At 35.9% G+C, this 12,655-nt stretch overlaps 1 pseudogene; it reads left to right on the top strand.

The window, feature by feature from the left end:
- Nucleotides 1-10,463: 10,463 nt before the first annotated feature.
- LOC101060000 (dnaJ homolog subfamily B member 6-like) lies at nucleotides 10,464-10,952 on the top strand (annotated as a pseudogene).
- Nucleotides 10,953-12,655: the final 1,703 nt, after the last annotated feature.

Raw genomic sequence — 12,655 nt, forward strand, 5'->3', positions numbered from 1 at the left:
CTGTGGAGGGGAAGAATGTGAATTTCAATCTGCCATTACAAATATTTACTTAAAATTGGTATCACATCTTTGATGAACAGAATTTAAGTTCCACTGTAGTGATGTTAGTAATCTAAAAGTGGTATAAATACAGTTATCAAATACTCCAAATCATAGGTGACCAAGAGAGTAAGCAGCCTATGGTTTTGAGGAGTCAAGGAATAGTAGTGTGATAATCTTACTAGACCATTCAAGCTGAGATTATGATTCTGAATGTGGTCTTATGATTTAGAGGGATCCTGAACTCTTATCTTGTTATAACATACATAGTAAGTGCTTCTTGTAAACCCACGAAATTCCATCTACTAACTTCCTCAACAAAATCAAACGTTTATGCCTGTCATCACTGCAAATCTCACAGAACCACAGAAATGTCACTAGGGGTTATTCCACTCATGTTTTCTGTCAATGATATTGAAATATCAGTGCTAACAGCACTTTTCATTTAAGGTTTTGAAAAAAAAATGAGACTACTGTAATGAACCATTTTGGGAATTTGGATTCTAGAAACAGTATTCTTAAAACTCTGAGTTTTTCTAGGTAGTTGATCTGATTTTTCACTTATGTAGGCAATTCCCAGGGTAGATTTAGCACTTTGCTTGTAATTGATGTTTGTCCACTCTCCTCATCCCTGTATAACTTGAAAACAAAGATAATTTCCAGCTTTCCAGGCACTCCCCAGACTACAGAGTGAGTCTAGGACAGTGCACCATTCAGGATGTGTCCAAGGGACATTGAATTGTATTATAAAGGCAGAGAAAGCTTGATCTAGCCGAATTTTCTCTTCCCTGTACTAACTGTGGGGAAGGCAGATGGGGATGAGTGAAACTAGTCTTAGTGAGCTGGCCAAAATTCTTGCCTTTAAGTAGCAGCCAGACATTATTACATTTCATAGTCATTGGAAGCACAATGTCACAGAACTTGAAACTGACCTAAGAGGTCAGGTAGGTCCAGGATTTGTATAAGACATTGAATATATCTCATCTCATATATCACACCAATGGGTATGAAAACAACACTCTTTTGTTTTATCTTTACTTTCTCTGTTTTTCATCTCTCTGTTTCCTTTTTCCTGCCTTCCTGTGAGTTACTCAAGCAATTTTTAGAATTCCATTTAGATGTATCACTATTGTTTTTGAGTATCTTTGTATTTTTTTCTTAGTGGTTGCTCTAGGTATTACATTATATTTACCTAAGTTAACAGTTACTAGTGTAATTATTAGATCAGTTAGAGTGAAGTATAGAAACCTTCCTTCCCTTTATGTTTCTTTACTCTTCTCCATTTATAATATTTTAAATATTTCCTCTACATACATTTAGAACCACATCATACATACAATATTATAATTTTTGCTTCAACTGTTGAACATAATTTAGAAAACTCAAGAAGAAAGAAAAGGCCTATTGTATTTAGCCACATTTTTTTCTACCATAGCCTTTCATCTTTTTTGATGTTCCAAGTTTCCTTTTTTAAAAAAATATTTTCTTTCTGTTAAAGTACTTCTTTTAGCCATTTGTTTAAGGTAGGTCACCTGGTGAAAAATTCCTTTGGATTTCTTTCATCTGAGAATGTCTGATTTTTCCTTCATTCCTGAAGGACATTTTGACTGCATATAGGATTCTGGGTTGACAGTTTTTTTCTATACATGTTAAATGTTCCACTTACTTCTGGTGCTCATGGCTTTTGATGAGAAATCTGCTATTATTTGAATTCTTCTCTTACACAGTTTCTTCTTGACTTATGGTGGGGCTGCATCCTAATGAACCATTGTAAGTCAAAAATGCATTCAATGCTGACAACACAGCAGATGGTCCTGGATTTATAACTAACCTTTTTTTCGACTTTACAATGGTGCAAAACCAATACATATTCAGTAGAAATTGTAACCCTATTGTAAGTCATGATGAGCTCTTCAATCTATGATGGAGTTATGTTCTTATAAACCCAATGTAAAGAAAAAAAATTATAAGTTGAAACATTATAAGTCATCATAAAGTGTGGTTTCTTTTAAATTGCTTTCAAAAAATTCTTGAAAAAATTAGTTTACAGAAATTTGATTACATGTCCTGGCATAGATTCTTTGGATTTATCATATTTGGGGTTCACTTAGCTTTTTGACTCTGTAGGTTTGTGTACTCTGCCAAATTTGGAGTGTTTCTCAGCCATTATTTTTTTGAGTAATTTTTTTCCTTTTCCTTCCTTCCTTCCTTTTTTTTTTTTTTTTTTTTTTTTGAGACAAGTTCTTACCTTGTGGCCCAGGCTGGAGTGCAGGGGCATGATCATGGTTCACTGCAGTCTGACTTCCTAGGCTTGAGTAATCCTCCTATCTCAGCCTCCTGAGTACCTGGGCCTGCAGGCACACACCATCACACTCAGCTAGCTTTTGTTCATTTTTTGTAGAGATGAGGTCTCCCTTATTTCCCAGGCTGGTCTCAAACTCCTGGCCTCAAGGAATCCTCCTGCCTTGGCCTCCCAAAGAGCTGAGATTACAGGCATGAGTCACCATGCCCAGTCTTTTGAATAATTTTCTATTCATGTCTTCTTTCTCCTCTGACGTTGGGACTCCTATGACAAGAATGTTATATATTTTTTGTTATAGTTTCACGTGTCCATGAAGGTTTTTTTTCTGGTCTTTTAAAATTTCTTTTTGTTGCTCAAATTTAGTAATTTTGTATTGTTCTATCATCCAGTTCACTGATTCTTTCCCCTGTCACTTCCATTCTACTACTGAATATATCCATTGATTTTTAAAATTTTTAATTTTTATAGTTTTCAGTTCTACAATTTCCATTTGGCTGTCCTTTGTATCTCTATTTCTTTGCTCAGATTCTCTCTCTCTCTCTTTTTATTTAGTTATTTCCTAACACCATAATCTATTTTTTAAAATTTGTTTTAAGCATGTTTGTAATTGCCTGTTGAAACATTTTTTTGGTGGTTACTTAAAAACTTTTTTTCCGATAATTCTGCCATCTCTGTTATTTTAATATTGGCATTACTTGATTGCCTTTTTCAGTCAGTATGAAATCTTCCTAGTTCTGGAATTTGAACCTGGACATTTTGAATACTGTGTACTGAAAACCTAGATCTTATTTAAACAATCTCTTTTAGCTGGTTTCCTGTTGGTCTGTATTGTCACCTGAAGGGGACACTTCTTTCTACTACTAGACGAAGTTGGGAGGATTCACTCCCCATGAGGCATCCATTGATCCCACAGCAGGGGCTTTACCTCATTATTGTTGGGAGGTGATGAAAACCTTGAGTCATAGCTTTTTTCTGACACCACTCCATTAGAGAGAGAGAGAGAGAGAGAGAGATGTACTTCATTTCTGCTGGGTGGAGGTAACAGTCCAGGGTCCCTATGTGGTTTTCACTGATACTGTGAGGAATGCAGAGCCTTGTTACCACCTAGTGGGGATAAAGGTTCCAACCCTCTCCTCAGTTTTCCCTGCCACAACCCTGGTGGCAGGGTTGAGACTCCTCATTGCAACCACTGATGGGGAAAGTCTAGACTCCCCACTGGGCCTTTGCTCTCGGGTATGGGGTATAGGGATGGGTGTCATAGTTTTTTGTTTGTTTTTTTCTGTGGTGTTTACCCAGAGTAGCACAGCTATTTTTCAAAAGTTTTCTATCTTACTAAACTGCCATTTTCTTATTCTTTGGCTAGAGACTGTTCTTTAGCAGGAGACTGTTTTGTTTTGTTGGTTTTTGTCTGTGGTCATTGTCTTTTGAGGTTGCCAGCTTCTTCAGCTCAAAGCCTGGGATAAATGAGGCAAAACAAAAACCCAGGATAGTCACTACCATATTGTTCCTTGGGTCTTAATGCTCCTGGCTGACTTACCATCTTCTCTCCATCTTTCAGAATCTTTTATGTTTGTTCTACATAATGTCAAAGGTTTTTCTTTGTATATAGCAGGAAAGGTAAGAAAAAATATGTTCCTTCTCAAAAAGCCCATACTACTTAAACATGAAAGAACAACTCCATCAGGAACTCCAGTAGTCCCTATAATGTTGGAGAAACTATTTTGCCTCTATAAAATATTTTGGAAGATCACTTCACTAATATTGACAGCCTCAAGTCAGTTACTTCTTTTTCCTCATCATGTTTCTATTTAAATTTTCTTATAAATATTGTATTGTTCTTTTCAGAGGCATATTGGTTTGAACTTTGGGAATCCTTAGCTTCACTGTGCTGTTAGCAAAACCACTGGATTTAAGATATTCCTAGACTTCATTGTAACCAGTGAAACCAGTATATTGAGTTGGGTGTAGGCATGAAAATCTTTTATTTTTCCAATACGTCTCCATCAGGGATTCCAGTAAATTCTCATAATGTGAATTTGTGAGAAAAGTCCAAGTTGTTTTGTAGATGTTTTGGAGAAATATATTATAACACTCTATATAGTGAGGAAAAAGTTGAATTTCTGCTTTATATTCTATATAAAGATAATCAATACATAGTCTTATTTCTGGACTATTTATTTTGCCCCATTAGTTTTTCTTTTTGTCTGTTTCAAACCAGTTCTACTCTTCTATTGTTCTGTCTTTCTAATTTGTCTCAATACTTGATATTGAGTCACAGCTATTTGGATATTTTATTCCTCCATATAAACTTAAAAATGTTTTCAAAGTTCCCCTAAAAATTTCTACGGACTTTTAAAAAAACCTTGGTATTGTATTAAATTTAAATGTGGTATGTTTATTCAGTTCTTCTTTTTTGATAGTTAAAAGTGCTTGAACAATTCCATATCACCAATACCTTGTCCACTTTTTATTCATTTACCCTCATCTTATAGTTATTTGATTTCTGTAATATGGTAGTATATTTATAAATTTGATTAACTCTTATTAGTTTCAATGGCTTGTTGTTTCAGTTTTTTTTCCTGTACATTACTATATCATCTTGACATGTCTTGCACCTTGCAATCATCATAATCCATACTTCTCTTTCTTCCTGCATTAAGATGTGTATTATCAGAGATATGGAAATTTTTATTTTGTTCTAGTTCTTAAAAGATAATGTAGTTAACCTTGGGTTTTTAGTAGATAAATTTATCAAGTCAAGGAAATTCCTTTCACTTAGTTTTCTGAGAATTTATTCATGAATATGTATTGACCTTTATCAAATATTATTTTCTTCATCTATTGAGATAACTTTATGATTTTTCCTTTTAGTTTATTAATGCTGTGAATTTCATTAAGTTTGCTAATATTGAACAATCTTGGATTGTTTGACTATACTATACTAAATCATGATATATTATTTTTTTACAAGTAGATACAGTTATCTGATAATTTATATACAGATTTGCGCATGTTTAAAAATATTCATAATTTTCTATTCTTCTATTGTTCATCTATTTTTGGATTTCAAGTTACACTAGCTTTATAAAATAAGTTGAGCTGCTTACCCTTTTCTTCTATTATTCTGGAACAACTTGTATGTGAAAAGGGATTATCTCTTCTTTATAGTTTGGTAGCACTCAACAGCAAAACCATGTTGGACCAAGGTTTGGTCATTTTTTGGAGGAGGTGTTCCTGATTCACATATGCAGTTCTTTAATGGTGATTCATCTAGTCAAGTATTATATTTCTTCTTGGGTTTATTTTGACATATTATATTTTCCCCAGAAATATATCCATTTATGCTAGGTTTTCAAATGTCTTGACATATAGTTTTAATAATATTTTATTATCTTAAAAATCTCTATTACATCTATAACTTATTGCTAGTAATTTTTTCCATGTTTTTAAAAGTAGTATTACTAGGGCCTTTTCTGTTTTATTAGTCTATTCAAAGAATTACCACTTAGTTTTGTTAACTATTTAAAATAAGCTTTATGTAATTGTTTTCTGGCTCTGTCTTTGACTCAGTTATTTTATAGCTTTCTTATTTTTAAGTAGATTTAAAACTCTAAATACTCTTTTAACATAAGCTGTGATGCAACATTTGGTAGGTAGTGTTTTCATTGTCATTCAATTTGAAGTATATTATAATTTCTACATTATTGCTTCTTTGTCCCAAGAGTACTTAGTTGTGTATTTTCATATTCCATATATATTTTATTTTTAAAGCTATTTGATTATAATAAATTTTTAATTTTATCATATTATTGTTAGAGAAAGTACCTTTATGCTATTAATTACTTGGTATTTGTTGAGGCTTCTTTTGTGTCATAGTTGTTCTAGTACTAGTTAGTTTTTACAAATGCTTCATATGTGCTAAATATACTTTCTCTCTTTTTTTGTTGTTGGGTGTAAATGTCTCTATATAGCTATTAATTCAAAATAATTGATTATGTTATTCGAATTTTTTATGTATTTATTTATTTTTGGTTGCTTTAAACTATTAATTTCTGAGAGAACTGGATTAAAATTTCCAGCTACAAATTTTTCTATCATTTTAAAATTATTTTCTATATTTTGAGACTATATTGTTAGGTGCATATATATTTATGATCTTTTTCTTTTTAATCTCTGATTCTTTGTCCTAGGATGTAATGTTCTTCTTTGCATGTGTGTGAGGGTGAAGGCATTTTTGTTATGATAAAAGATATAGATATTTACAGATTCAGTTACACAAAGTAGGAAACCATACATCATATCACTTCATAGAATGAAAATTTTGCTGGGCATATCAATTTTGGCATTTTCCTTCTTCTTTTTCTCTTTTAAAAAATCTGCTTACCTGACCACTTGTGCATAATTCTGCCAATATATCTCTTCACAACAGGTTCCAAGTGACTGGTACAAAAGCTTCAATACTTTTCTTTTGAGCATTTATTCTGAGACTGGGTAAAGATTAATTTCCTGGGTACAGATATTTCCCACCAGAACATGCTTCTGGGTGCTTGAAGTCTAATCCATCTGCTGACTTAAGATTTTATGTTTCTGGGCCGGGCGCGGTGGTTCACGCCTGTAATCCCAGCACTTTGGGAGGCCGAGGTGGGCACATCATGAGGTCAGGAGATCGAGACCATCCTGGCTAACACGGTGAAACCCCGCCTCTACTAAAAAAAATACAAAAAATTAGCCAGGCATGGTGGTGGGTGCCTGTGGTCCCAGCCACTTGGGAGGATGAGGCAGGAGAATGGCGTGAACCTGGGAGGTAGAGCTTGCAGTGAGCTGAGGTCGAGCCTCTGTACTCTAGCCTGGGTGATAGAGAGAGACTCTGTCTCAAAAAATAAAAATAAAAAAAATTTTATTTTATATTTCTGCATTATTTAAGCAATAGACTTAACTTGCAAAGATACTTATTTAAACCTATTAGGGTGGTGGGGAAATATACTATATCTAAACTGTAAAAAAAAAGGAAGCCTAAACTTTGAGAAATCATATGCCAATTACCAATTGACATTGTTAGTAATGAATTTATTTTTTAGAGCACACATGTTTCTTTTTTTTCCAACATTATGAATGAACTGCCTTTTGTAAAGCTAATTGGTTTCATTTGTATGGTCATTTCTGAGTCTTCAGGTTACTTAACCTATTAAAAGCTTTCATCAAATGTGATTCATTCCTCCTCCTTGGAATACTTCCTCCAATTGTCTTCTAAGACAAAATTTTCTAATTTTTCTCAGACATTACTTCTTCTTAGTTCCCTTTTTCTGCTTCCTTTTTATCTTCCTGATCTGTAAAGGTTGAAGTGTCCCAGGGCTCAGTTTTTGTGTCTCTTCTTCTCCATTTACTCCAGCATGATACACAATCTGATTAAGTGCTATGGTTTTAAATAACATTTATATGCTTATTACTCTTGAATTTATTTTTATTTGGTTTAAGCATATAAAATTTTTGACAACCATTTTTTGATATACAAATATGGTAATTTAATATGAGTAAATGTAAAAAACTATATATAATGTGCATATATATATATATATGCACTCTATATACATATTGATTTGAACTTCTAAAACATAGGATGTGCAATTAGCTAACTCCTAAATTCTTGTCCTCTAGTCTCCTCATAGAAATCTACTCATCTGATAGTACTTCCTGCATTCTATGAATTCCCAATCTATCATCAAATTCTGTCAATTCTATCTGTAAAATATATCCCAAATCCAATCAATCTTGACCAGTCTTACTGCTCCCAATTTAGCTTTAAACTGTTGTGATACATGAACATAGAGTGTGGAATGATGGAAAATGGACACTCAGAAAGGTGAAAGAGTGAAACGGATGATAAAAAATTACCAAATAGGTACAATGTATGTTATTTGGGTGATGGGTACTCTAAATCTTATTTTACTGGTGCACTATCTATGCATGTAACAAAATCACACTTGTACTCCATACATTTATAACTACACTGTTGTGATAGGCTGTATTAGTCAGGGTTCCCCAGAGAAACAGAACCAACAGGATATGTGTGTGTGTGTGTGTGTATCCTATATATCCCAAAATACACATATATTTTTATTATGGGAATTGGCTCATGCAATCATAGAGGCCCAAAAGTCTAATGATACGCTGTCTGCAAGCTGGGCAACCAGGAAAACTGGTGGTATAATTCAGTCTGAGTCCAAAGGCCTAAGAACTCAGTGTTGGGGAGTGGTGTAAGTCCTGGAATCTGAAGTCTTGCGAACCAGGAGTTCCAACGTCTAAGGAAGGGGGATGAATGCTCCAGCTTAAGAAGAGAGAGAGAGAATTCACCCTTCCTCCATCTTTTTGTTCTATCTAGGTCTTCCAAGGATGGGATGATGCCTGCCCACATTATGGAGAGCAGATCTTCTTTACTTCGTCTACTGATTCAAATGTTAATCTCTTCCAGAAACACCCTTTTCACACATCCAGAACTAACGTTTCACCAGCTATCTAAAAAACCAATGCAGGAGCTTCCCTTCATTGGTCTTTTATTTGTATAACATGTTACTTGAAGAATGAGTCAACTCACTTGTGAAATGTTAGAAACCATGGCTCACTATTGGTGGTAACGTTTGGGTGAAGGGAAGCAGTAGGGCAGAAATTACTCATTTTTTCCTCAGAATATAACTTCTTTGCTATAGTCACAGTGTGTTCTAAGTGGTCCACGGTACTTCTAGTAATGTGCTTTTCCATTTGATAAATATTGTAATTGCTGTACCTTCTCCTCCTTCCTTGGCACACATTCTTTGTGCAGCTTGGACTTACAATTTTAATGATACCACATTATACTGTACTAAAAACCATTTACCTTTATAAATAAACACTGAACTTAGCTAATGGACCAAGGTAATGTCCTTTTTTTTTTTTTTTTTTGAGTCTCGCTTTGTTGCTCAGGCTGTACTGCCTCCCGAGTTCAAGCAATTCTCCTGCCTCAGCCTCATGAGTAGCTGAGACAGGAGTGCGCCACTACGCCCGGCTGATTTTTTTTTTTTTTTTTTTTAGTAGAGATGGATTTTTGCCATGTTGGCCAGGCTAGTCTCGAACTCCTGACCTCAAGTGATCCTCCTGCCTTGACCTCCCAAAGTACTGGGATTATGGGTGTGAGCTACCGTGCCCAGCCCAATGTAATGTCTTGACTCTTCTTCCCTTCGAATGAGTTTCTCTTCAAACAGTATAATGCCTGTGAAGCTAAGCAGGAGTCATTATCCCCAGATTTCTGGGCCACTCCTCAATCCCAAGAGGCCCAGACATGTTTCTCTTACCATCAGTCCCCTGAAATTCTCATGAAAATAAAACCAGTAGGTCTGCCTTCCTCACCTGCCTGCTAAGATATACCTGGAATACTCTTCAAATATTACTAGAAATCGCTTAAAAAATTGAAATGATATGCAAATTTTTACTTTAGACAAAATGAATAAAGATCAGTTGCTGTTATGTTTGGAAGAAAAAATGGGCCACATTATTGTGTAAGTTTATTGGGGGCTATGCATCATTTCCAAATTCAGGAAGTCATGGTTTCCTGCTAGTACAGACTAAAAAGCAGTAGCTGAATGGATTGGTAGAGCTAATTAAGTCATTTAAAATTATTGTTTCCACTTCTTTCAATAAAGGATATATTTATTTTCTTTGTAATATTTAAACACAGCAGTTATAATTTAAATAAACAAGTAAAAGAATGCACAGACTTATTCACAAAGCAAGCTCACTGTTCTATATTTAAAAACTTTTTAGCCGCATTCAATGAATTCCGGTGGGATTTGGTGAGTTTATTTTCTTTTCGGTTTTAATTAGGAAACCCTACTGCATTTGTAGGTAGCTATGCTAGAGGAATAGTTATGTTTTTATTTGATTATATTTGATGTTAGTGATTTTTTATTTAATGAAATTTTAGTGATGTTATTTTGTCAGTTGGATTTTGTTTTTAAAGAGCGGAGCAGGCCGCTGCCACCAGCACAGCGGTGCTGGAGCCTAGAGGAGACCTGGGCCACCACTTCGCCTCCCCTGTATCTCACTGCCAGTCGCCTCTGTCCTGGGACCTGTTCCAACAATCTGTTAAAACATGGTGGATTACTATGAAGTTCTGGGCTTGCAGAGACATGCCTCAACTGAGGATATTAGAAAGGCATATCGAAAACTGGCACTGAAGTAACACCCAGATAAAAATCCTGAGAATAAAGAAGCAGAGAGAAAATTCAAACAAGTAGCCAAGGCCTATGAAGTGCTGTCAGATGCTAAAAAGCGGACATCTGTGAAAAATATGGCAAAGAAAGATTAGTTGGCGGAGAGGAGGTGGAAGTCATTTTGACAGTTCCGTGAGTTTGGCTTCACATTCTGTAACCCAGGTGATGTCTTCAGGGAAGTTTTTGGTGGAAGTTTTTGACTTCTTTGGATTTACTTCATTCAGGTCATGGGGGTCTCACTTCATTCTCTTCCACCTCATTTGGTGGTACTGGGATGGGTAACTTTAAATCTCTATCAACTTCTACTAAAATGGTTGGCAGGAAAATTACTACAAAGAGGATTGTCGAGGATTGTCAAGAAGGAATAGATGTTGAAAAAGACAGCTAGTTAAAGTCCTAAACGATAAAAGGTAAGAAGCAGCTTCTGGCTTGGGTAACAAGTAATTCAATGCATGCATTTAACAGAAATGTTAAATAATAACAAGTGCCATTTGAGGATTAACAGGAACTGTTTTTTTTTTTTTTGTTTTTTTTTTTTTGAGACAAAGTCTCGCTCTGTTGCCCAGGCTGGAGTGCAGTGGTGTTATCTCGGCTCACTGCAACCTCTGCCTCCCGGGTTCAAGTGATTCTCCTGCCTCAGCCTCCCGAGTAGCTGAGACTACAGGTGCATGCCACCAAGCCCAGCTAATTTTTTCGTATTTTTAGCAGAGACAGGGTTTCGCCGTGTTAGCTAGGATGGTCTTGATCGCCTGACCTCGTGATCTGCCCAACTCGGCCTCCCAAAGTGCTGGGATTACAGGCGTGAGCCACCGCACCAGGCCAACAGGAACTTTTTTTTAAAGATTTCAAACAAACACTACTTTCAGTTTAATTGTACCTAATCTAAAGTATTTACAAACAGCTCAACAGAGCCCCTATTTGTCATAGACTTTTGAGTTTATCGTTGGGACCTTTTTTTGTCTTTAAAATTGTTGAAATCTCTGTGTGCACTTTGCCTTTTTATTAAACGTACTCCAAGGTGAGACTTTACCATTTTGTAGTAGGATGAGATTGCATACTAACACCAGCATGGATTTGCTTTCCCGTTGTATCTGAAATGTGAGCCTCCTAGTATTGTCCTGCTGTGAAGTTAACATTGACAGGATGAATCTTCTACAGCAACAGGCTTCAACCTTTTTGGCACCAGGGGCCGGTTTCATGGAAGACAATTTCTCCACGGTTGGAGTGGGGGTTGGGGATGGTTTTGGGATGATTCAAGCACATTACATTTATTGTGTAGTTTATTTCTATGATTATTATTGTTACACTGTAATATATAATGAAATAATTATACGACTCATCTTAATGTAGAATCAGGGGGAGCCCTGAGCTTGTGTTCCTGAAGTCCCATTTGGGAGTGATGGGAGACAGTGACAGATCATCAGGCATTAGCTTCTCATAAGAAGCATGATGCCTAGATCCCTCACATGTGCAGTTCACAGTAGGGTCCACGTTCCTATGAGAATCTAATACTGCACTGATCTGACAGGAGATGGAACTCAGGAGATATTGCCAGCAATGGGGAATGGCTGTAAATACAGATGATGCTTTGCTGGCTTGCCCACTGCTCACCTCCTGCTGTGTGACCCAGTTCCTGCAGGCCACAGACTGCTACAGGTCAGTGGCCCGAGAGTTGGGGACCCCTGTTGTACAGAAATAACTTCAATTTTTTTTTCAGTATTTAGTAGTGAAAGATATTAATTAAATAATGGTAATACATTTTTGGTTTAATATAAATTAAGAATGTTTTCCAGTTGTGCATGAATGCTGGCAACTTGATACGTTTTGACAATTGTTTAAATATGTAATGTTAAGCTTAGGTTTAAAAAAGTATAGCTGTGGCCAGGCACGGTGGCTCACGCCTGTAATCCCAGCACTCTGGGAGGCCGAAGCGGGCGGATCACCTGAGGTCAGGAGTTCAAGACCAGCCTGGCCAATATGGTGAAACCCCGTCTCTACTAAAAATTTAAAAAATTAGCTGGGCATGGTGGTGTGTGCCTGTAGTTCTAGCTACTCAGGAGGCTGAGGCTGG

Source organism: Homo sapiens, chromosome 8 (assembly GCF_000001405.40).
Source record: "Homo sapiens chromosome 8, GRCh38.p14 Primary Assembly".
Lineage (NCBI taxonomy): Eukaryota > Metazoa > Chordata > Mammalia > Primates > Hominidae > Homo > Homo sapiens.